This window comes from Homo sapiens, chromosome 2 (genome assembly GCF_000001405.40).
Source record: "Homo sapiens chromosome 2, GRCh38.p14 Primary Assembly".
Lineage (NCBI taxonomy): Eukaryota > Metazoa > Chordata > Mammalia > Primates > Hominidae > Homo > Homo sapiens.
This window is the reverse complement of record NC_000002.12, coordinates 190,526,390-190,552,239: the sequence shown is the minus strand read 5'-3', so window position 1 is coordinate 190,552,239 and position 25,850 is coordinate 190,526,390. Positions and strand designations below refer to the sequence as shown.

The following is a 25,850-nucleotide window of genomic DNA, read 5'->3' as shown; positions in this document are numbered from 1 at the left end:
CAGCATCTGAGCAGGAGGAAGCAAGGGGGGAAGCAATGAAACTTGACAGACTTTGACAGACTTGAGAATGAGGGAAGCCCAAAACAGCAACAGCTATTTACTGGGAAACACGTGGGTAGGTCTTGCCCAACCCACAAGTTGTGAGTGCAAAAGGTCTGCTACAAAGACTGAGAGTGCTTAAGCAATCTAGATCTTACGATTTCTCTCTAGAAACATGACCTGCCCGGGCTCCCTTCCAGGATTCCCTTCCAGGACTGGGTCACACTAAAGAGAAATACCAAGTGGAATCAAAATGGAGCTGGACAGAGACATGGATAGCAGAACAACTGATAAAGGAGGCCCAGATAACGGGAGAGGAGGGAATAGAACCAGGAAATCTTATACGGCAAGCTGACTCTTTTTAATACATAAAAACAACAGAAGAGGGAGTTTGTGTGAAGTTAGAGAAGCTACCCAAAAATCACGAATCAGTCCTACTAACAGTTATGGAAAGACACTTTCATGTAAAAATTTAAAACAGAAAAGTATTGAGGCGAAATCTCTTGCACTTATTCCTAAGGGGAAAAAATGAGCAGAAAAATCCCTACACAAGAAAGACATGCTCACAGAACAAATCTAAACTATAACTTTCTATTTCAAAAGAAGCTAAAATACATTAAGAAAATGATACAAGAAATGAAATGCAAACATTAATCCAAATTTTAAAAACTCAGAATTGAGGTGGCAGAACTCAGGGGACAATTAGAAATAAAATAAAAATTATTTCAGAAATGAAACTATACTAGGAGAAACAGAAGAGCAAAGAAAACAAAACAAACTTTGCCCTAGGAGAAATAGAAAATTGAAAAAAGAAGAAAAAAAAATTAAATGAAAAAGAAATAAAGAAAAAGATTAAAACCATTAGAGAGAAATTGACAAATATTGAAGATGGATGAGAAGATTCAACCACAAATAACCAGAATCTATGAAGAAGAAAAGTAAAACAAGGGGACAAAACAAATATTTAAAACTATAGTTGGAGAAAATTTTCCCTAAACAATAATATGAAACTATATGTTGAAAAAGCACACTATGTAGCTGAGAATATTGACCTACAACAAATAACACCAAGATGTATTTCTAGTAAGATGGATGAACTTAAAAAAAAAAAAAAAAAGTCCATTGGCTATGAAGTCAAAACCAGCAAGTGATTTGTAAGGGTAAGAAGATTAGATTACCATCATATTTTTTACAACAATACTTTATGCCAAAAGAAAACAGAATAACATACTAAAGAGACTCAAGGAATACAATATGAACCAACATTAAAATGCTCAACTATAAAAGCCACTGAACAATATTTACAATGACTAGGTTACCAGGCATCCACACAAACGAGTGAAGACAAAAACTTTGAGAATACTGTTTTTTAGCCCTTCCTAAAGATTCTAGTGAATGAGTTTCAGATCATTAAAAGATATATCAACATGAGGACTGATGGTATACATTAAAGACAGTTACCTGAAACTAATAATAAGTGTGAGTTAAGAGAGAGCATAACATGTAAAGGCTACATTTGTACAAAATGCAGATATAGCACTGCTATTAAAAAATAGAGAAGGGAGATGATATGAAAAAAGTACTTTAAGCTGTATTTTGTTCTTATGCTATTGGTAGTAGTATGTGTATTATTATTCTGATCCTGTTGTGTGTGTAACGTGGAATAAAGTTAATGAGTAATTATGAGATATTCTAATTTCATCGCTATGGTTTGAATGTTTGTGTCCCCCCAAAATTTATATGTTGAAATCTTAACCCCCAAGGTGATAGTATTAGGAGGTAGGGCCTTGTCGGGGGATTAGGTTGTGAGAGCAGAGCCCTCATGAATGGAATTAGTGCCCTTATAAAAGATGCACCAGGTAGCTTGTTCACCCATTCCACCAGGTGGGGACATAGTAAGAAGGAGCCACCTATAAACTGGGAAACAGGCCCTCACCAGACATGGAATCTACCGGTATCTTGATCCTGGACTTCCCAACCTTCAGATTTGTCAAAAATAAATATCTGTTCTTTGTAAGCTATCCAGTTTATAGTATTTTGTTATAGCACCCCAAACAGATTAAGACACTGTCATCTACTGTATACCTGGGAACTAGGAATCTTGATATGGGGAAAAGAGATGCAATGTAGTATAAATAAAGCTATGTAAAAAACCCCATAGTCCTGAACTTTCATTAGAAATATCAGTGTGATCATTAGATATTTTATTTGTAGAGTTATATCAATATGTATACTTATCAGTAGACAGGCTTTCTAGTTCTGCTACTGAAAAGTTGCAGAAACAATAACCAACCAGGTAGAACCAAGCATTAATGCCTGGACTGTAGTCTTGAAATTTTATTTCCCAAACGTTTTGCTTTGAAATCTAATTTCAAATATATCAGGACTTTTTGGAGACATGACGGATTCCATGTCTAGGGAAGGAACCATACAAATGATCCTGGAATATCTGATATCAGATATCAAAGAAACTGGCAAAAATTTACTAGGATATGTCAAAAGGGCTCAGGAGCCAACTTGAAGAGAATCCTATTGGTCGAAGATAGGACAATTTGAGCTTCAGGAAAAAAAAAGTAATAATTGCTATTCATCGAAATCTTATTAAATATATAGAAATCCATGAGTTCATGATAATATTATTCAAAAAAACAAAGAATTGTTCAGCTTCAGAGGATGAAAAGGAACCAATTAATTATCTTGAAAACTGGTAAATTAGGGGAAAAGAACCAATCACTTATCCTGCCTTTTCTACATGAACTGCACCATTGGGTAGCCAAATAGTAGATGAGGAGATCCATTTCCTTATAAAAGTATTCCAACTAATATATGAAAAAGAAATCACGGAATTTGAGTGTCAACATTTTGCAACCTCCAATGAATTAGTGGATCTAGATATCAATAGTTCCTAATGTCACAAAAAGAGAGTCAGTCAGACATTTTATGAAAGAACACACACAAAACCTATAGCCTCACTGAAAGGGATAAAACCCAAGTCTGCGGAAGCCTTTGAATCCAGTTGCCAGTTTTCAGGAACAGAGAACAGAGGCACATGCCAAACTGCACTGTAAGTATGAAAACAGTGATACTCAGCTGTGGGAAACTACATATCAAACAGCTCTAGTTTTTCAATAGATATATCATAAGGAAAAGAGAAAGTGGAGGGGTGAACAGGTGGATATGAGAGACTTAAGGGACAACCAAAACAATTATTAATGGGCAAAAATATAGTGTCTATGGATGTACACTTGGTTCATACAACTATAAACAAACACATGAAAGTGATTATTATAAAAATCAGGATGGTGGATATTTTTGGAGTAGGAAGAGGTTTGAAATTGGGACAAGGCACATGGAGAGCTGGAGTAGCTGGAAAATTCTACTTCTTGATTTGGGTGATGGCTACCAGCATGTCTGCTGTATAATAACCCACTAAGCACACATTTATTTTTGTATAGCTTTCTAAATCTGTTTTACTTCATGATAGATATAAAGATTAAGAGTAACAAAAATCTGTTTAACATAAAAGATCGCTATCACAACAAAGAATTTTAACAAGATTCTCTCATTGGTATTACTCAAGATTGAAAAATAATGAAAAGTACCTATAATATTTCAGTACTTACTATATACAGCAAAAAGTAGAAAGAGGGAAAACTAGGAAAAGGCAAGAATCAGGTGAAACAGTGAAATGGAGGGGAAGGAGTAACCTCTAAATCTTAAAACAAATCCAAGAAAATTAGTATGTTTAGATGAGCTGTTTGCCCTAAAGTGGGCTTAGATTTTACATAGAGGAATACATATTTATGAAGCCCTCATTACTTAGGTCTGGCCCTTTGAAACTCAGGGTATAAAATTTTCCTTGGCCTATTCTAACCTTGCTTTAATTATTGCTGAAATAAGTTAAGAGGCTTAAATTTTAAATGGATTGTTTTAAACATTAGTGTTAGGCAAATTATCTTTAAGTGAAAAGAAAAAAAAAAGGAGTGCCATCAGAATCCTAATGCCAAGATATATGAACATGTAGTTCCAGGGACACAACCACAATGTGGTTAGGAGAGACAAATTCTAACCTGCAGAATGCATGCCTGAAAAAGGAGTCTACATCCTCCCTCTTTCCTTCTATTTGCTCCACTGTCTTAATGGCTTATCCTGCCTGTCATTCCAAGTGGCAAGTGACCTAGTTAACCCAGCTTTCTCACACTGGACCATCTGGATTAGTCACTGCTCTTTCCACCCCACCTCTCCTTTTTTATCTCCTCTTTCTTTTTCTGCCATTCCTATTATCTTTTCCTTACTTTCCTCATGATAACCCATCCTCCTTTATCGAATTTTTCTTATTTTATTATAAGAATAAGAAGTATTTGTGGATGGGCACGGTGGCTCACACCTGTAATCCCAGCACTTTGGGAGGCCAAGGTGGGCGGATCACCTGAGGTCAGGAGTTTGAGACTAGCCTGGCCAACATGATGAAACCCCATCACTACTAAAAAATACAAAAAGAAAAAAAATTAGCTGGGTGTGGTGCAGTGCACCTGTAGTCCCAGCTACTCAGGAGGTTGAAGCACGAGAATCGCTTGAACCCAGGAGGTGGAGGTTGCAGTGAGCCAAGATGGCACCACTGCACTCCAGCCTGGGTGACAGAGCAAAACTCCATCTCAAAAACAAAAGAATAAAAAGTATTTGCAATTTTGCTATTTAGGAAATTGAATGATTTAAAATAAAGATGTTATCTCAATCTACTCAACAGGATTAATAGGGGAAAAATACATAATTGGTGCAGAAGCAACTCCCATTTTGAGTCAGTGTGTATATTTCAAAATAGAAAATACATTTGTCAAAGTTTAGAATAATGAATAAAACTCATTTATTAAGTCACCATAAAGTTTCAGATTACCATTTTCACACATTTATGAAGGCTCTGGGGAGCTGTCAAAAATATCACCATAGTGATTTTCTCCACTGCCTATTACTATTCCAGTTTTTGTCTTCTATGAAACCACTTCCCACTATAAAGTTTAAAAATACCAGACACTCGCTCCACCGCTTTTAGCAAGGGTATAGGCTACCAAAATACATGGGACCAGAAAGTCTGAGGAGTCTGACGAGAAGGTGAAGATGAGAGCTTTCAAGAAAGTCTTTTCTTCCCCATTCAAGAGATGAAAAGGGAGATAGTCCTCCCTATATTTGGTTGTGATTGTGTGAGAACCCAGTGTCAGCAGCAAGGACGGCCTTTTTCAATTATGAAGGCAAAAGCTTAAGGACAAAGTCCAACAAGTGGAGAGTGGTGGAAAGAAGCTGAAAACAGCCTGGGTCCTTGGGAGCATGCTTAAGCTACTGAATCAACTGGCTTTGAGACTTCCGTGCACACAACATAATAAATGTTTTGTTTAAGACACTTTTAGTTATACATTTTGTTACTTGTAGTTGGAAATATCCTAGCTAATATATACCTCAACAATACAGGTAGATTTCTTGACTCTATTGCTAAGGACAGGACCTATAAATCACAGTAAACAGATGTAATAAAATGGGGGTGGGGGTAGGGGAAGTAACTGAAATGTACCAAATAATAATAATTATTCATTTTCATCTAACGTTAGAGACTTTGCATAGTGTAAGCAAAAATATATCTAATTTCAGGTAGATGGACTTTATTGGCAAAATATGATTAACGACATTAGCAAAACTTAGAAGTATAGTCGTCCCTCAGTATCTGTGGGAGACTTATTCCAGGACCTCCCATGATACAAAAATCCAGAGACAGTCAAATCTCTGATATAAAATGTTGCAGTAAGTACTTGTATATAGCCTACATTCATCTTCCCATACACTTTAGATTAGCTCTAGTTTACTTATAATACCTAATACAATGTAAATCCCAAGCAAATTGTTGTTATACTGTATTGTTTAGGGACTAACAAGGGAAAACAGTCTGTATGTGTTCAGTATAGATGCAGCCATCTTTTCTTTTTTAAAAAAAAAAATTTTCTGTCTGTGGTTGAGTAAGGCCATGGATGCGGAACACACAGATATGGAGGGGCTGACTGTGTATTTGTTGAATTATTTATACATTCCACTTTCCACGGTTTCTTTTGAAACATGACTAATCTAGAAATTGTGATTTTGTTATAGAAACAGTGTAGAACAAATAGATTCTATTATGTCAATTTTCTTTGTAAAATAAAATACTAGGAGTATCTAGATTATAAATTTCTTTCCCACACTGGGTTGCGTTTTCTTTGACATTCCACTCCTATGACCAGCAATAATGTGCTAGAAAAATAGGGAGTGAAAGATCTGTATAAAAACTCTGTAACATACTTGAATGTAGCCAGATACGGAGTACAAAGAGACAGCAATAATGAAAACAGAGGCTCTGGAGAACTGACTTTAAAAAAGAAAAAGAAAGAGAGGGAGAGGGAAAGAGAGAGAGAGAACATAGAAGCAGAACAAAATCTGAGACACTGTTATATCTCTGTTCCCCAACCTCCACCCACCCCTTTTTAAAAATATTTGAGTTCTTTCCAAAAACACATGAAAGAAAATAGATTGAAGAATTTTCTGCATAGATTGTGATTGCTGGGGATATTCTGAAGTGCATGATCAAGAACTGAAAGCTAGAAGAGACAATCCCGATGTCTTAACTGAATTGAAAGGTTCCTGAATCATACATAAATCTCTTTCATTATCAAAAAACGACTAAGAAAGGCAGTTAAGTAACTTAAACTAAACGGATATCTGCTGTTTGTAGGTTTCCTTGAAAGAAAATAAACTTTGAAATATAACTCATCTTCTCTCACTGTAAATCATCTTAAAAGAAATTACCCCAGTGGGGGGAAAAAAGAGAACGCTAGATAGTAGAGAATGGCTGATTGAAAAAAATGTTTCCTAATGGTGTGTTAGTTGCAAAGAAAACTTTGGCAGAGGCTCCTTAGGAATCAAGTGAAGTGGAGTTGGTGAGATCGGATGGTGTCAAAGCAAGAGACAAACTAGAGTCCCAATGCTGGGAAATTTTATTTATAGTGTAATCCTAAACCTACTAACTGAAAAATAAATCTTTTTTTTTCTTACTTTTTTGTTTTATTTATTTACTTACTTTTGAGACAGGGTCTTGATTTGTTGCCCAGATTGGAATGCAGTGGCGTAATCATAGCTCACTGTGGCTTGAACTCCTGGCTCAAGTGATCCTCCTACATCAGCCTCCTGAGTAGCTGGGACTACAGGTGTGTGCCACTACACCCAGCTAATTTTTTTTTTTTTTTTTTTTTTTGCGGGGGTAGAGACAGTGTCTCACTATGGTGACTAGGCTAGTCTAGAATTCCTGAGCTCAAGTGATCCTCCTGCCATGGCCTCCCAAAGTGCTGGTATTACAGGCATGAACCACCACACCTGGCTACTTTTTAAAAAAATAATAAATAACTGGTGACCAGTTTCCTGTATCTTAGTTACCTTAAATGTACTCTTAGATGCACTGTATTTGTTCAACTTTGCTTTTTTCAGATTAACTGATTATACTATTTTTCCCATTAATACTATTTTCCAGCCATGATTCAGTAATCACCAATCACTTTTGAGTATTTTTTCTCACCACTAATACAGTATAGTCAAAAGAATATTTGCTTCAGAATCATAAATGTAAATCCCCAAGCTATATATCAGACCTACTGAATAAGAATCTTTAGAGATGGGACTCTCATTCACACCAAAATTTGAGAATCACAACTTAAAAAAATTCCACATCTCTCAACTTACAGGAATTTAACCAATTTTTTTTTACCAAGAGCTTTAGCAATTTATTATAGAGGACATATTACCTTTTTCTTAATAAATTATATTTATTCTAATCCTATACAATATCATTTATTTTTATTGAAATAACCTATTTATTAGTTTTGACATGACTTATTAAAATTACTGAACTAGTATATGGCAAGTCAATTTCAAAATATTTTCTAAATGAAATATGCTAAGAAAAACGTGATACAACAAATCAACTTCTATTTTTATTCTTTTATGGAGAAGTCTCAGATACTCTGTCTTTTAATGAGTAAAATTCTAAAACTGGGGATTTTTGAAAGAAAGAAATGATGACACATAGCCTCTGTAATCTTTATGGCATTGGCTGGTATTATTGCAGTAACAGACTAAATTTTTCTTTATCAAAGAACCTAAAGTAGTAGAACTTTGCCATTTTCTTTTAACTTAATTAAATGTTCTACCTAAAAGCTAAGTGAAAGCTCCTAAATAATTTCTCACATGAGCTGAATTTTACTTCTGATTCATAGTGACTGATTATAGCCCATGACAGTTACTGAAAATTAATTAGTTATAAAGAGCAAGAACCATAGAAATAAAAAAGCAGAGGCTGAAAATTGAATTGTCATCTTTTTCACATCACATGGAAATAGTCTAATGGAATTAAAGAATTTATGAGACTTCTGGTTCCAAAATGGTGGGTTATAAGCAAGCTGGCTTCACTTTTTTTCTACAGAAACCCAAAAACAAATATACAGCCCCTAACATTATCACCAGCAAAATTCCTGAACTCCAATAGGAGGATGAGACAGTTCCTGAAGCCACAGAGAAGTGAAAAAATTACAAGCAGGTGGTAAGAGAATTGAACTTACATATTTACAATGCACCTCTCCTCAATCTGCCTGTCACCAAGTGTGTGGTATTTCAGGCACTGCTGATGCTTCCCAAGGGTTGAGGCAGGAACAGGACTCCTGCCAGGGAACCCAAGATGGTGAGAAAGCTGATTGTCCACCTCAATCTCACTTTTCCAGTGTAAAAACTGTGAGCCAGGGAGAAATATCCTTGAGAACAGCCAGAGACAGGGGCAAAAAGAGAGGACAACCATCCCACCTAAAAACTCTGCTCAGTGACTTGGCCAAAAGAGATATCAAATGAGAGTGACTGTTCATCAGCACTGTGCTGTCGGAGGTTTGTTCCACAGGTACCCTGGGCACAAACTCCTAGCCAGCCTTTTCACAGTAGCAGGCTACCCACTTTGGGACCTCCCTCATTTGGGACAGGTGGCACTCTGGTTATTTATTAGTGCCAGGCAAACTGGGCTTAAGGCACCATCCAGGGCTGAAAAGAAGATAGCAGCCTAGTCACGGGTGGAGGGAAGACTATCAATAAATAAATTACAAAGAATCTGAGCAAACATGTACAGTAAAAACCCAAACAAGCCAGATAGAGAAGACTGGAATAAGTAACTAATTCTTCATTACAAAGACATAGATATAGATTCACAAGAAACTATAGTAAACAGGGAACCATGACCTCTCCAGACACACAAAGCAAAGAACCAGTGACTAAACCTACAAAAACAGTGCTATGTGAACTTTCTGACCAAGAATTCAAAACAGCAGATTTAGGGAAACTTAGTGATCTCTAAGATAACACAGAATAGCAATTCAGAAATTTATCAGAGAAATTTAACAGAGATTAAAATAATTTTAAAAATCAAATAGAAATCTTAGAACTGAGAAACACATTTGCTAAACTGAAAAATTCATTAGTGGTTCTCAACAGCAGAATAGATTCAGCAGAGGAAAGAATCAGTGAGCCTGAAGACAGGCTATTTAAAAAGACACAGCCAGAAGAAAAAAAAAAGTAAAAAAACAATGAAAAGGAAGATCACCTACAAGATATAGAAAGTTACCTCAAAAATCAAATCTCAGGGCTGGACACAGTGGCTCACACCTGTAATCCCAGCACTTTGGGAGGCCAAGGTGGGCAGATCACTTGAGGTCAGGAGTTCAAGACTAGCCGGGCCAACATGGCGAAATTTTGTCTCTACCAAAAATACAAAACTCAGCTGGGTGTGGTGGTGCACTCCTGTAGTCCCAGCTACTAGGGAGGCTGAGGCAAAAGAATTGCTTGAACCTGGGAGGCAGAGGTTGCAGTGAGCCAAGATTGCACCACTGCACTCAAGCCTGGGCAACAGAGCAAGACTCCACCTCAAAAACACAAAACAAATCTAAGAATTATGTGTGTTCAAGAGGGAGTTGGGCAAGAGCAAGAGGTAGAAAGCTTATTCAGAGAAATAATAACAGAAAAATTTCCAAAACAGAAAGAGATAAATATCCAGGTACAGGAAGGTCAGAGAACACCAAACAGATTTAACCTTAGTAAGACTACCCCAAGGCATGTAATAATCAAACTCAGACGACAAAGAGAGGATCCCAAAAGCAGCAAAAAGAAACAAATAACATATGAAGGAGCTCCAATTTTTCTGGCAACAGACTTCTCAACAAAAACCATACAGGCCAGGAGGAAATGGGACATTTTCAAAGTGCTGTTAGAAAAAGAAAAAAAAAAACTGCTATCCAAGAATACTGTATTCTGCAAAGCTATCTTTCAAATATAGAGAAGAGATAAAATCCTTCCCAGAAAAATGTTCACAGAATTCAGCACCAGCCCCATCTTACAGGAAATGCTAAAGGGAGTTCTTCAATCTGAGAGGTAAAAACACTAAGTTGCAAATAGAAAATATTTGAAAGTTTAAAACCCAGTGGTAAAATTAAGTATGTGGGCAAACCCAGAATACTCTAATACTGTAACTGTGGTGTGCAATCTACTAACAGCTTTAATATGAAGCCCAAAAGACATATCTATGAAAAACAATAATAGTTACATCAACCTGTTAAAATTAAACAACTTGCTTCCAAATGACCAATTAAGAAATGAACAAATGAAGAAATTAATGAAACAAGAAATTAAGAAAGAAATGTAAGAATTTCTTGAAACAAATGAAAGTACAAATACAACATACCAAAATCTATAGGATACAGCAATAACAGTAGTAAGAGGAAAGTTTATAGCAATAAACATCTATATCAAAAAGTAGAAAGACTTCAAATAACCTAACAATGCCCCTGAAGGAACTAGAAAGGAACTAGAAGGAACTAGAAAAACAAGAACAAACCAAACCCCAAATTAGTAGAAGAACAGAAGTAGTAAATATCAGAGCAGAACTAAATAAAATGGAGACCAAATATATATATATATACACATATATATAAAATGAAATTGTTTTTTTGAAAAGATAAAATCGACAAACTTTTAGCCAGACTAATTCAGAAGAGAAGACCCAAATAAATAAAATCAGAAATGAAAAGGAGACATAACAACTGAGACCACAGAAATACAAGGAATCATTAGAGACTAATGTGAATGAGTATTCACCAACAAATCAGAAAACCTAGAAGAAATGGAAAAATTCCTGGATACATAAAACATGCCAAGATTGAAGAAATTAAAAACCTCACCAAACCAATGATGAATAATGAGAGTGAAGCCATAATAAAAAATCTCCCATCAAAGAAAGGCCCAGGATCTAATGGATTCACTGCTGAATTCTACCAAACATTGAAAGAAAAACTAATACCAATTCTACTCAAACTCTTTTTAAAAATTGAGGAGGGAATACATCTAAACTCATTCTAAGAGGCCACCATTACCTTGACACCAAAACCAGATAAGGACCCACACACAAAAATGAAAACTACAGGCCAATATCCCTAATAAACCTCAAACCCAAAAATGCTCAACAAAATACTATCAAACTGAATTCAACAACATTTAAAGATCATGCATGCTGGGTATGCATGCTGGCTCATGCCTGTAATCCCAGCAAGTTGGGAGGCCAAGGCAGGAGGATTGCTTGAGCACAGGAGTAACTCAAGGAGCCTGTGTAACATAGTGAGACCCTATCTCTACCAAACATAAAGTAAAATATATTATCTGGGCTTGGTGGCATGCGTCTGTAGTCCCAGCTACTCAGGAGGCTGAGGCGGGAGGATCATTTGAGCCTGGGGGGTTGAGGCTGCAGTGACCCATGATCGTGCCACTGTACTCCAGTATGGGTGATAAAGTGAGGTGCTGTCTCAAAAAAAAAAAAAATCATTCACTATGATCAAGTGGAATTCATCCAAGGAATGCAAGGATGGTTCGACATATGCAAATCAATGAATGTGATACATCACATTAACAGAACCCAGAACAAAAACCATATGATCGTTCCAATACATGCTGGAAAAACATTCAATAAAATATTCATCCCTTTATGAAAAAAACCTTCAACGAACTGAATATAGAAAAAACATCTCAAAATAATAAGGGCCATAGATGAGAAACTCATAGTTAACATTATACTGAATAAGGAGAAATTGAAACCCTTTCCTCTAAGATCTGGAACAAGACAAGGATGTCCACTTTCACTACTTTTAGCCAACATAATACTGGAAGTCCTAGCAAGAGCAATTAGGCAAGAGAAAGAAATAAAGGGCTTCCAAATTGGAAAGGAAGAAGTCAAATTAGCCTTATTTGCAGATAACATGATCTTTTACTTAGAAAAACCTAAAGATTCCACAAAAAAACCTGTTAGAAGTAGTAAATGAATTCAGTAAAGTTGCAGGATACAAAAATCAACATACAAAAATCAGTTGTATTTATATATGCTAAAAGCAAACAATCTGAAAAAGAAATCAAGAAACCAATCCCATTTATAATAGCTACAAAGAGTATAAAATACCTAGGAATCAGTTTAACCAATGAAGTGAAAAATCTATGTAAGTAAACTATAAAACACTGATGAAAGAAATTTAAGATTTCATGGATTGGAATAATTAATATTATTAAAATGTCCATACTGCCCAAAGTGATCTACAAATTCAATACAACCCCTATCAAAATACCAATGACATTCTTCACAGAAATAAAAAAAAATCCTAAAATTTGTATGAAGCCATTCAAGATTCAAAATAGCCAGAGCAATCCTGGGCGAAAAGAACAAAGCTGGAGACATCATACTACTTGATTTCAAAATATATTACAAAGCTATAGTAACCAAAACAGAAGGGTACTGGCATAACAAAAGACACATAGACCAATGGCACAGAATACAGAACCCAGAAATAAATCCACATGTTTAGAGCCAACTCATTTTCAACAGAAGTACCAAGGACATACAATGGGGAGAAGAGAGTCTCTTCAATAAAATGTGCTGGGAAAAATGGATAACCATATGCAGAAGGATGAAGCTAACCTCTATATCTTACCATATAGAAACATCAACTCAAGATGAATTAAAGGCTTAAATCTAAGACCTGAAACTATGAAACTACTAGAAGAAAACGTTTCAGGACATTGATTTGGGCAAAGATTTTTTGGTAAGACCACAAAAGTACAGGGAACCAAAGAAAAAATAGGCAAACAGAATTACATCGAGCTAACAAGCTTCTGCATAGCAAAGGAAATACTCAACAAACGGAAGAGACAACCCATAGAATGAGAGAAAATATTTGCAAACTACTTGTCTGACCGAGATTAATAACCAGAATATATCAGGAACTCAAACAATTGAATAGCAAAAAACCCCAAATAATCCAATTTTAAAATAAGCAAAAGATCTGAATAGACATTTCTCAAAAGAAGACATACAAATAGCTAACAGGTATACGAAAAAATGTTCAACATCCAAAATAATCAGGAAAGTACAAATCAAAATCACAATGAGGTATCTCACTTCAGTTTTTTTTTTAATCAAAAAGACAGGGAATAACATATGCTGGTAAGGATGTGGAGAAAGGGGAATACTTGTGCACTGTTGGTGGAAATGTAAATTAGCACAGCCTCTATGGGAACTATATGGAAGTTTCTCAAAACTAGACCTACCATATGATCCAGAAATTCCACTACTGGGTATATATCCAAAAGAAAGGAAATTAGTATATCAAAGAGATATTTGTATTCTCATGTTTACTGAAGCACTATTCACAATAGACAAAACATGGAATCAACCCAAGTGTCCATCAATGAGATGAATGGATTAAAAAATGTGGCATATATACACAATGGAATATTATTCAGCCATAAAAAAAATGAAATCCTATCATTTGCAGCAACATGGATGGAACTGGAGGTCACTATGCTAAGTGAAATAAGCCAAGCACAGAAAAACAAATATCACATGTTCTCATTTATATGTGGGAGCTAAAAAAAAACTGGATCTTATGAAGATAAAAAGTAGGTTGGTGGTTACCAGAGGTAAGGGGATGGTGGGAGGGGTTGAAGAGAGATTGCCTTTTTTTCCCTGTTTTAGTTTGGAATGCTAGAGTGGATTAGTCACTTTAGACCATCATGAGACAGGTTAGCTTTACCCTACTGTTGATGTGTTGTTGCCATGGTAATCCTGCTCAGTATAAAAGGAACCACAGTTTCAGACATTTGTTGTATGTGCTTGGCTGAGGAGCCAATGGGGTGAAGTTTCCTAGGTGCAGCCCATGATACTATTTTTCCCTCCTAGGCCTCTGAGCCTGTGATGGGAGGGGCTGCTGAGAAGGTCTCCGACATGCCCTGGAGACATTTTCCCCATAGTTTTGTTGATTAACATTCAGCTCCTTGTGACTTATGCAAACTTCTGCAGCTGGGTTGAATTTCTCTCCAGAAAATGGGTTTTCCTTTTCTATTGCATCGTCAGGCTGCAAATTTTCCAAACTTTCATGCTCTGCTTCCTCTTAAATGCTTTGCTGCTTAGAAATTTCTTCCACCAGATACCCTAAATCATCTCTCAAGTTCAAAGTTCCACAGATCCCATAATTTATAAAGGAAAGAGGTTTAATTGACTCACAGTTCTGCATGGCTGGGGAGGCCTCAGGAAACTTACAATCATGGTGGAAGGGGAAGCAAACATGTCCTTCTTCACAAGGCAGCAGGAGAGAAGTGCTGAGTGAAGGGGAAAAGCCCCTTATAAAACCGTCAGATTTCATGAGAACTCACTCACTAGCATAAGAATAACCCCCATGATTCAGTTACCTCCCACTGGGTCCCTCCCACGATGTGTGGGGATTATGGGAACTACAATTCAAATGAGATTTGGGTGGCGAGACAGCCAAACCATATCGACCTATATTCAAATTCACCGGTTCTTTCCTCAGCTATGTCCAGTCTGCTGATAAGCCCATTGAAAGAATTCTTCATTTCTGATACGGTGTTTTTAATTTCTAGCCTTTCCATTTCACTTTTTAAGTAATTTTCCTCTTTCTGCTGAAATTCTCTATATATATTCATGCATATTGTTCACCTTTTCCACTAGCTTTATAAGCATATTAATTCTAGCCCAATATATGGGTCATTTCTGAATCTGGTTCTGTTTTACCTCTTGATTTTTTCTCCTCTCTGCTTTTTTGGGTGTCTTTTAATTTTTGATCAAATGATGGATATCACATGTAGGAGAATAGTAACAACTGAGGTAAATAATATTAATGTCCAGAAATAAACATGCCTCTTCTGTCCAGTCAATAATGTGGGTAGTTGAGTCAATCTAGTCAGGAGTTGTGCTGAATTTGGGTTTTGTTGTTGTTATCCTTGCCTTCACTCTGTACCACAGGCTTCATTCAGATTCCTCTAGCAGGGGGTTACTATTGCATTGTTTTAGTGTGGAACCTAGAGTGCTGGGGAGTTTTTCTCAGTGTCCCTCACTCAGCTTTTAGCAGTGTTTGCATGCCTGTGTTACAGAGAGGTCTCTCCCCACTCTTTTTCCTCCTCACTAGTTGACTGGTGTTGTCACTGGTGCTTGGCTTGTAGTGGGGAAAAGGGGTTTTTCACACTCCTGGTCCTGCCTTGGTTTTAGGCAGGCCCTGTGCACCTGAACCTTAGATGTGGGGCTTTCCCAGTATTCCTGACACTTTCCCATTGCAGCCAAATCCTTCCTTTATCTGTGGTGAGTCTTGAGTGAGAGAGGGTTTCCCAGCAGTAGCCAACTTCAATTTTCTATTGGTTCAGGACACAGAGCCCTAGTGTTTCCTGCTCCTGCTGCTCCCCAAAGGGCAGAAGGTTTGTGCTTCTATCTCTTCTCCAGAAGCAGGGGGTCTTTGCCAGGATCCTGTTGGTGGTAAAGCTTCCTGCCCTTCCCCCAGTGGATAAGGTTTTCATACAGAAGAAAAGTTTGGAGAGGTTAAGTGGAATTTCATGATTGTCCCCCAGTGACAGAACTATCACCTCCTAACATTCTTGTTATCTCCGGAAAAATATTTATTGCTTATAGAGAAAAATGTGGTGTTTCAATATAGCTTCTTTACAGATATTTACTAAGGATCTGTGATATAAATAGCACTTTAAATATTTAGTACATTGCTGCCTGCCCTTTTGTTTCTCCACCAGATATATCTGTAGAAAATACATTCATCATTCAACAACCCACCTGTTTATTTTAGCTACTTTCCATAGTGCCATCCAAAATTAAACCAAATCAAAATGAATGTGGTTAGGTACAAAAGCTGTCTTGCAAGAAGCAAGTGCACACCGCACCTGGGAATACAGGAAAGAATTGGATCAGGGCTCTGCTGTTTCTCTGAAGACAGGCTTCACTCAAGTAATGATGGTTTATTTTTAAAAACCATCCCTCTGAAGAGTCCCTTACAAGGAAATTTCTTAACTTTTTAAAAGCCATACATGGTGTACACATGGTGCCAAGTGCTTAAGGGCAGTTGGTTAAACCTTTCTTTGAGGGCAAGGAAAGCCTAGTCCATCCTACTCAGACTTTTAGGAAAAATGAGGCTTATCTATTTTTAACAGGATAATTTCTGTTACTTTGGGTTCTCTAAGATATCTCACCAAAAGACCAGAATTAGAGAAGACTGTCCTAGTTAAGTATGGAATATTGAGTCAAATTAATGGGTTCCAGGTCCTGTGGAGGGAATGTTCTTTAAAATATATGTATATCTCCTAATTATCAGTATTAAGATCATTCAGGTTATATGTTAATTTAAAAATATATCTATTACATTAAGAAACTTTTTTTTAACATAAGGTAATTTTAAGAGAACCTTGTCATGTTGGTGAAGGAACATTTTACGAGCCCCTCTGTACTCTGAAATGCCGTGTCCGAGATTAGACATACAAGTCAGTGTTACTTAAGCGGCCAAATTTCCAATTTGTTATTGCTTGTTACCAAATGAAAGTAAAAAGATAAACAGAAAGGTAAAATAAAGAAACTGGCTTTTATGTATTTTATTCACAAAAAGGGCGTTTGCCGAAGGACCTTCCCATTCACGGGCTGTCACTCACAGGTGCTCGGAGAATTCAGCCTCCAAATCCGCAGGTCACAGGTCAGCCAAGTTTTAAGAAACACTCCGGGTTAGCGACTCTTCCTCTCTGCAACTCCCACCCCTGCGCCGAGGGCAGCGGGACACGGCCGGGCGGTCCCCAGGGGAAGATGAGGCCCTGGACGCCCCGCGTGCGCTGGAGGCCCGGAGGCCAAGGCCGAGGCCGAGGCCGAGGCCGGGAGCATGCCAGCGGGGTCGCGCCACCGAAAGCTCCTCCGGCCTGGGCCCGCCGTGCCCCGAGGCCGCGGGCGGAGGCTGGAGCAACGAGCCCAACTCTCCCTCCGCCCCGGGGAGGCGGGGTCTCCGCCTTTCCCGCGTTCGGGCCTCACCGCCCCCTCCGCCTTCTCTGAGCCCCCGCGCCACTTCCGCTCCTCGCAGCGGAGCCGGTCCCCTAGGGCTCGGGTCGCACGGAGCTGACCCCTAACGAAATGGGGCCGCGCCAAGGGCGGTGGTGGCTGCTGCTCTGGCTGCCGCCCCTGGCCACACTGCCCGTGCGCGGGGAGGCGGCGGCGGCAGCGTTATCAGGTAACCCGGGACCGGCGGCGGCGGCGCGCGCGTGCGTGCTCGCTCCCCGGCTTCGCGGCTGCCCTGAGGGCGCGCTCTTTGGCCCGGGCGGCACCGCGAGGCCCACTGGGGCGGGCGCTCCCTTTTCTCGCTTTGGGGTCTCCCGGGCAGGCCCCGCCCGCCCTTCCTGTCTTACTGGGCTTCCGTAGTCTCTCGCCTGGCAGTTGGACATTTTGTAATTTTAGAATTAGAAGCAACCGCGCGATCCAGTCGCCCAATTCCCTCGTTTTACAGAAGCAACCGAAACTCAGAGAGGTTTTGATTTGCCCAGGGTCACACAGCTTGTCACTGGCACAGCTGACCCTAGTCTCCAGACTTTCAGCACACGGCCTTTTGTACAGTACATCAATGCGTGTTGAAATCCTTGTTATTTCACTATCTCGCATTCCTTTGGTCTCAAGACTAGAGAAGGTAACAGCTTCAGCTTCAGAATCGGAGCGAAAATTCTTCTGCCCCTGACTGTTGTGACCTTGAGCGAGTAAACATAACGGTCCCACGTGAGCGGCAGGTAATGAGGCCTCACAAGGTTCTTGTGGTGTTCGTGTGCACAATGCCTGGCACACAGGAAGCAAGAACTGGTAGCGGCTGCTAGCTGTAGGGGCTCGCCACGGAGTGGGCTTAAGATGCTGGCACACTGGGGAAGGATCTGGGAAGGACACCTGGGGAAGTCAGAAACCTAGAGTTCCAACTCCAGACCTGCCGCTAACTTACCATGAGCTTCACATTTCTGTTTCTTTTTTTTTTTCCCCTCATAAAATCTTTTAAAAGATTTCCTGGGTGCACTGTCTACCAACTTCCCTTCCTTGCTTTGGCTACCCTGGTTTCAAGGGAGGCTGCCAAGTGTATTCTTTTAGCTGGGCATGGCCCTCCCTCCGGTTATACCGCGGTTTTTTATCTAAGGATGAATGAGAGACTGGATGTTGATGAGGTCATTATCAGATTCTGCCACAGCTCCCAACTGAGGGAATCTTGCAGTGAGTTATATGTTGGGGAAGTGTTGGATTCCAGTTTTCATTGAAGAGAAATTTTTTGAGTGTTCAGTATGTGCTAGGCAGTGTTATAAGTGCTTTAACTGCAGTATCTATCATATTTAATACCCATAGAAGCCCTATGCGGGAAAGCACCATTTTATACCCATTTTACAGATGAGAAAACGAAGGTTTGGTAGTAAGAAATACAACAATTTTATGCTGGTGAAAAAATAAAACACAAATCTGTCTAAGCAGGAAGGTTTCTGGGCATGGCAACAGCGAGAAAATTAGAAGTAGCCTTAGACCAGCACCCAGCACCTTGGGTTCTAGACCACTCATTCCTTCAGCCACAACTTGTGGTATAACCTTGGTCCAGGCACAGAGTCTTTATGGACCGTAGTTTTCTCTTGAGTAAAATGAAGATGTTTTTACTGAAGAGTTTCCAGTATTTTCCTCACCTCAGTGAACCTGGTGTTTTTAAAGTTTTTATGTTACCGCATTTAGTATAATAGTAACAGCCTGCTTCTCTGCTTTGTTAATCAAAGACACACATAAATACTTATTGGAGCTTCTGTTCTGCCTGAGACATGCAGGATGCCCACTGACTTGATAAAACTAGTCCACAGCTAAGAAGAATGGCAACTTTTGTAGCCTTAGAGGGATGCCTGCCATTCCGGTAGGCTTTCCAATACGGACTGTGAAGCGCCCAGCATCTGGTAGTGTGCCAGTGACACTGTTGGCAGCCCTGGATTAGACTAGGCTTAAGAACCATAGCTGCTCTTTAAAAGTCTATGGTTTCTTGAGGACCCTGAGAGGAAACAGCTGGTACTTCCTTTAAGCGAGGGGCTTGGATTAGTGATACCTAAGGTGCCTTCCTGTTCTAAAATTTTGTCTTGAATAACACACACTTCAATGGAATGGAGAACATTCAGACCAACCCCAGCTTTCTGTCACTCTATTTGGAGGAAAGTCAGAGACAGTTGACACAGGAGGAGCAGGTAGTTGTCTGACTGAGAGGAGAAACTTCAAGAGTTTCCCATAATTTTCACCCAGTTAGTGAGGTCCCTAGAAACCATGTGTTGTCCTGAGATGAAGTTCAGGCCCTGTCAGTGGCTTTCCAGGCTTAAACTATAACAGTCCATTTGACACCACAGCTTTAAGATTCATCTGTGAAGATTTGAACTTGAAGTTAAAGACCTGAGTGTGCATGAGTATATACTAATTCCAGTTTCATTCTCATATTCTTGGAGAAAGAAAAAGATGAATATTCAGGTTAAAAAAAACTGAGGTTAAGAGAATAGTTACCTTTATCACTTTGGTGCCTCACGTTAACACCTTTGAAAATGTGTATTTACAAAAAACAAATAGTAAGAAAAATCCTGAGTCCATTTGACTTCTCACAAGTTAAGACTTGTTGGTTTTTTGCTTTTTGTGTTTCCTACTCTTCTCCCTCCCCTTCCTTGTCCCCAAAGAAAAACAGTTATAGGGAAAATGGGGAAATTTGTCATATAAGTTAATAAGTGTTTATATTATGATTCCATTCTAGTTTCATCTGAAGATATTTTTTTTCCCCATATGAGGGCCATGTCAGTTTTCAGGAGGAACATTGGTGAGATATTTTTGTGTTGGGAGTTAGGTTCTGCTAAGATTTGAGGTGTTTGTGCTTTTTATTTTTAGCATATTCTGTAAGTAGGTTTAAGTACTGCCTGCTCTTTTCTGATGTTTTGACTGAGGTTTTTTTTTCCGTATATATGACTCAACTCTTTAACTTAAACATATACTTACATTTAGGAAAACTAATAAATGACAAAAGTACTACAAAGGAGATAATTGAGCTTATAATTAGGTGATATGTAGCTGTCCCTTTTTTATACTAGATATGTAATTCTAAAATTAGATTAATTGAATATTCATAAATTGAGTGGTATTTAAAATGAACTAAGGAATCTATCTCATTGGTTAAGGGAACCCTGACTTTCTGAATCCTTTGGTAATGTAAATAATTAATGCCTCCTGTAACATCTTAGAAATTTGGGCACAACTATCCAGAAATATACTGTTCTCTAGAAGTCAGGTTAATTGAAAGCATCAAAGAGCCTGCTGAGGATTGCAAGAAGTTAAGGAAAATGATGCCCTTCCAGGCTTAGAAACCTGTCTTTCCATAGTAAGGATGGCATTCAGGGTTGATCCCACAGATACTCCTCAGTCCTTGAGGGTTGAGGCAAACCTGGGATAGCCTACACTTCCAGATCTTTCTCCCGATCTGATTCAGGCTTGAGGAAGTGATTACCTAGGTTATGGAGCACCTTCCAGGGTACGGACATATTAAATACCTCAGCCTCAAGTAGAAGCAGTAGCTTTCCCTAGGCAGGTATTGTTCCCTTTTGACCAAATGAATGATTATTGTTAGATTTTTAAAAATTCCTAGAAATTCTGTTTCATTTCCTGGATTGCATTGTAAGGGGATTGTTGTTGTTTTTGTTCTAATTTTTAAATGTTTATTTATTTTTGAGACTGAATTATGATCCTGGCCAATTTTTTATTTTTGGTAAAGACAGGGTTTCACCATATTGCCCAGGCTGGTCTCAAATTCCTGGCCTTAAGGGATCCACCTGCCTTGGCCTCCCAAAGTGCTGGGATTACAGGCATGAGCCTCAGCACCTGGCCCGTTGTTGTTTTGATACATTTGAGTTTGCCTACATCTGCTACCGGAGGTTCTATCCTAGTAGAATTAACCAGCAATAACTGGGGCCTCATGAATAAATGAAACCCGCAGACATGCAGGCAGCTTCATAGCCTTCAGTGTCAGGGCATAATCAGCCATAGAGTTCAAATAAGCAGTCAAACTGGCTCTGTTTCCTGTTTCCATTGGACATGATTGAAACCGAGCAGTGAAATGGCTCTAGAAGAAGATTGCTAAAGGGAGGAGAGACCTAAGAAAGATACAGCCTTTATAATCAATCTAAGATTGGAAGATCTGTTCTCTCTAGAGAGAACAGTGGGCCAGCTGTGATAACAGTCTTGTGACAATCACTGTCTTTTGCCTAGTCCAAATAGCCCGTGGCTTAATGAACTGACTTGAAGCTAGGCTTGTGGCTTCTTATGGCTGAATTTATGGTCCCTTAGATATTTAGGAATTCCTGTGTGGGTTGTTTGAGACTCATTCACCTCGGGAGAGAGGTGATAAGAAAAAAGGGCAGCCAGAGGACACCATGAAGCACTGACACTTTGTGGAATCTCATGGATTGTGTAAATTCCACATCAGCTTCACCTCAAAAGCCAGAGGCCACTCTGGAGAATTCGAGGGAAAACACTGCAACATGCTTTTACTAGCGTGTCTATAGGCATGAACAGTCAGGACAACCTCCTTCCTTCTATGCTGTCCTTAATCTGGTTGAAGACTGAGGGGAAATGCAGAACAAGTTCTTTTCCTCTAACTGGCAGATCCCTTACCCAGAATACACTGATGTATCATATATGAGTCAAACAAAAGAAGCTTAATGCCACCTATTCTTTCTGACCTCCTCTATCCAGTGAGGGGCAAGAAGATGATCCCCAGTCCAGAGGATGTTAAGGGTTACAGTACTCAACCCTCTAGCTATGGATGTATTGGCCATGGGGTAGGGCAAGGGGGAAGTGCAGCCTGTGGCTTCCAGACTGGCCCTCATGCTTTGTCAGTTCTGTAAATGGGATGGCAGTGGCACAGGCTGGCAAGGGCATCCTACTACATCAGGTGGTTTCAAGGGAGGGCCAGAGTGCACCTTCTTTTACGGTGCTGACTATTCCTGGCCAGGCTCTTACAAAGATTGGCTGGACTTCCATTGGTAGGCCACACATGCCTAAATAACCCACTAGTCCTCTTGAACCACAAGCTACACACAAAAGATAAATATTTAAGTTCTGGGGGTTACAGTGATAAACATGCAATGTCCCTGACTTCATGGAGAGACAGAGTATAAGCTAATAAATATATATGTAATATGAAGAAAGAATAAAGCAGGTGGAAGTGGTTGGGGTGTGTTTGTTTAGACAGTGGGGTCAAAGAAGGCCTTTCTGAGAAGGGAGTGTTTGATAGAGTATATCAGTGATTGGAAGGGATGAGCTCTGCCAAGATCTGGGAGAAGAAGGTTGCAGCAGACTGAGGAAACTTTATGTGGGGGCTCGCTGGCATCTTGAGGACAGGAAGGCCAGCTGTGGCTGGAGCAGTGGGCTGGGAGGGAAGGTGGAGGAGGGAAGGTCATAGAGGCACTCAGGTCCCTGGAAGGGAGGGGGATTTTATTAATGGTGTAAAAGGAAACCATTGGAGGGTTTTAAGCAGGTAAATGATGGGTTCCCATTCATGTTTTTGTTTGTTTGTGTTTGTTTTTGTTTTGAGACAGAGTCTCACTCTGTCGCCCAGGCTGGAGTGCAGTGGTGTGATCTCAGCTCACTGCAACCTCGCCTCCCAGGTTCAAGCGAAATTACAGGCATGAGCCATTGTACCCGGGCCCAATTCATGTTTTTAAAAAGATCTATTTGCTAATTGAAAAGTGTGTTGTAGGGGAAAACATGGTAGTTGGGGGGCAGCAATTCTGGAAGCAGGGAGACCAGCCAGATAGAAGGCTATTACATCATCCTAGTGCAAGAGGAATGTGGCTTGGGTAAGAGAGAAGCATTTATTCCTATGTTGAAACTGCAGTATACACTATACTTAAATTGCATCATCTTGCTCTTAAGAGCTCCAGGTTTGGAATGATTTAGGAGACAGTCTTAGGATCAAGTGGAAAGAACCTTATTTGAAGAGAGCATTTGATTGCAAAACTCAGGCCCCACCAAAAGGTTATTTCCTCAGACCATTAACAAAAGGGAACTGTTCTATGAGAGTTGATTTAGCCCTTGAAGTAGCAGCACTCACTAGAAGAATTGCAGTGAGGGACCTTTGGAGGCACCCACAAGAAAAGCCCATCTAGCATTGAGCACATGGGTGGTGAAGAAAGACCTGTCTGGAAGTAAACATTATTATCATAGTTTGGGCTGCTGGGTCCGTGTACCTGAGACTTCATGCTCTTCACCTGCCCTGCTGGAATGCACTCCCTTTCCAACGATAGGTAGGAATCACTTTTGTTTGAGGACTCCCAGTATAAAGTTATTAACTCTAGCCATGCTTAGAGACCCCCCCGAGGAGGCTGTGCAAAGGCAGAACATGACAAGGTGAATCCAGAGATCTGATCCCCACACCTCTGCTGCTTACTAACTGGGAGCATTTAATGTGTTCTCATGTCTTCTCATTGCAGTTGCTCAGGATCTTCCAGGTTATATACTACATTCCTTGACATTCTTCTTTTCTATAGGTAGCTGCCAGCCCTTTGATATCCCTGGGACTGCACTTCCCCCTATGCTGCCCTTGGCCAGAAGTCATTTGCATCTCAGATATATTCAAAAATGTGCCTCAGCATTGGTTGCTTTGTGTATTCATAGCCCTGGTTGTGAATTCTTCTTTTGGCTCTTGTGCATGGACACACCATGCAGGAGCATGTTTTTCATTTTTAGTATCCTGTATTTAACAGAGAGCCTGTAGAACAGCAGTCTTCAACCTTTTAGCAACAGGGACCAGTTTCATGGAAGACAGTTTTTCCACAGGATAGGAGTGGGGTTGGGGTGGTTTTGGGATGAAACTGTTCCACCTCAGATCATCAGGCATTAGTTAGATTATCATAACAAGCATGCAACCTAGATCCCTAGGTTGCTCAGTTCACAGTAAGGTTCACGCTCCTATGATAATCTAATGCCACTGCTGATCTGACAGGAGGTGGAGCTCAGGTGGTAATGATCACTCGCCTCGCGCACCGCTCACCTCCTGCAGCCCTGTTCCTAACAGACCATGGACTGGTATTGGTCCTTGGCCCCAGGGTTGGGGACCTTTGCTCTAGAGGTTCCTTCTTGTGGTTTTTACTGGCTTTTCACCTGGATTCTTGTATTTGCATCTTGGACTCTCAAACTCTGCAAATTTCTTGATATATTTAGAAACATATGCATTTTATCATAATGTGAAGAGTAAAGATGACTGATTTGACTGTCACAGTTGAATACGTTGGGTCCTTGTGTAATTTTGCTGCTTCGTGTGGCCACCGGAAAACCCTCCCTTTTATGGAGTTGTGTTCTGGGAGATGGCGAGCATTCCCAGGATCCTTTCCCCAAGTCTGTCTTCACTTTTCTCCAACTTAATGCTAAGGATATTTCAGGCCAGGACCAGGGCCTTGTGTGAGCATATTCAGTATTATTCCCTACATGGATGTGATTGTTTACTAGTAGTTACTGTTTACTCAGTCCTTCCCCAACTTTGGTGTAGCAAGTTGTTCTAGCTTCATTTCAGGTTTTTCAGGAGGAACAACTGACCACACTTTCCTTAAAGGAGTCAGGGGTTGGATGTAAAGCCCATTTCTTTGTGTACCCATAAGTGTTCCTTGTTCCTGTTTCCTAAAGAACAGATGTGGAGGTGACACTCTATCTTGAATCCGGAAGAACTTACGACTTTCATTCCACTTCATTTCAAATCCAAATACAGCAACGACCACAGAAGAAAATGAACATCATTACTTTCTAGTTTTCTTGTGGCATTTTACATTAGCCCTCTGTAACACAGAGGGTTAATATATATCTCTCTTTCTCTCAGTTATGTTGAGTTGTATTATACATTATATATAGCATACATATATATTTAGGTATCTACATCTGTCTCCAGCCAAATTTCTCCTTGCTGGAGATGTGAAGATCTGTCCATCTTCACAGAATCCCACCAATGAAAACTCAGTATATCCGAAATTGAACTCACCCCCACTTCCCTGTACAAACTTGCTTTTTTTCTAGTATTTCTTATCTGAGTAAAGGGCCTCACTATCTCTCCGCTTATCAGAAACCTTTACATCATCTTCTTGTTTTCCTTGATAAAATGAATCTGTAAAGCCTGCTGATTTAATTTCCTAATCTGTTATTTCTCCCGCCTCTCTTAGTCCATTTCTTGTTTAGATTGCTTCAGTGGCCTCCTTAGTGGTTCTTCTGCTTTCAGTTTTGTTCTTTAATATTGCACACTACTTACAGAATATTCTTTCTAAAATACAAATGTGTTTCTGTCACTTCCTTATTGAGCTGGTATTCCCTGTTTGTTGGTGTAGATCTATTC

General features: G+C 39.5%; 1 protein-coding gene and 1 long non-coding RNA gene across 22 annotated transcripts in view, besides 1 other annotated feature; one reads left to right on the top strand and one right to left on the bottom strand.

The window, feature by feature from the left end:
• NEMP2-DT (NEMP2 divergent transcript) overlaps positions 1-17,402 on the bottom strand; it is a 104,691-nt gene extending 87,289 nt beyond the window's left edge. For 6 of the 9 annotated variants that reach the window (NR_183903.1, NR_183902.1, NR_183904.1 and 3 more), the window contains exon 1: positions 17,119-17,402. This is a non-coding gene — a long non-coding RNA (NEMP2 divergent transcript). Of the gene's footprint in view, positions 1-14,680; positions 14,776-16,252; positions 16,360-17,118 lie in introns of all 9 variants that reach the window. The other 3 variants (NR_183907.1, NR_183910.1, NR_183909.1) reach the window with 3 other exon arrangements.
• Positions 1-25,850, top strand: part of NEMP2 (nuclear envelope integral membrane protein 2) — a 227,365-nt gene that overhangs the window by 96,546 nt on the left and 104,969 nt on the right. For 6 of the 13 annotated variants that reach the window (XR_007068185.1, NR_136298.2, XM_047441941.1 and 3 more), the window contains exon 1: positions 17,518-17,681. The exons of 4 other annotated variants lie outside the window; for them this stretch is intronic. Coding sequence is in view for 4 of the 9 variants with exons in the window: in XM_047441941.1 (XP_047297897.1) it covers positions 17,585-17,681 (97 nt within the window). In the remaining 5 variants the exon portion in view is untranslated. Of the gene's footprint in view, positions 1-17,517; positions 17,682-17,879; positions 18,229-25,850 lie in introns of those variants that run through there. 3 more of the 13 variants (XM_047441961.1, XM_005246212.4, XM_011510459.4) reach the window with 2 other exon arrangements.
• Positions 17,205-17,854: a silencer, noted in NCBI's record as "silent region_12179". NCBI's record gives its function as "represses an Ori minimal core promoter by ATAC-STARR-seq in GM12878 lymphoblastoid cells {active_cell/tissue: GM12878}" and the evidence as "EXISTENCE:reporter gene assay evidence [ECO:0000049][PMID:35858748]".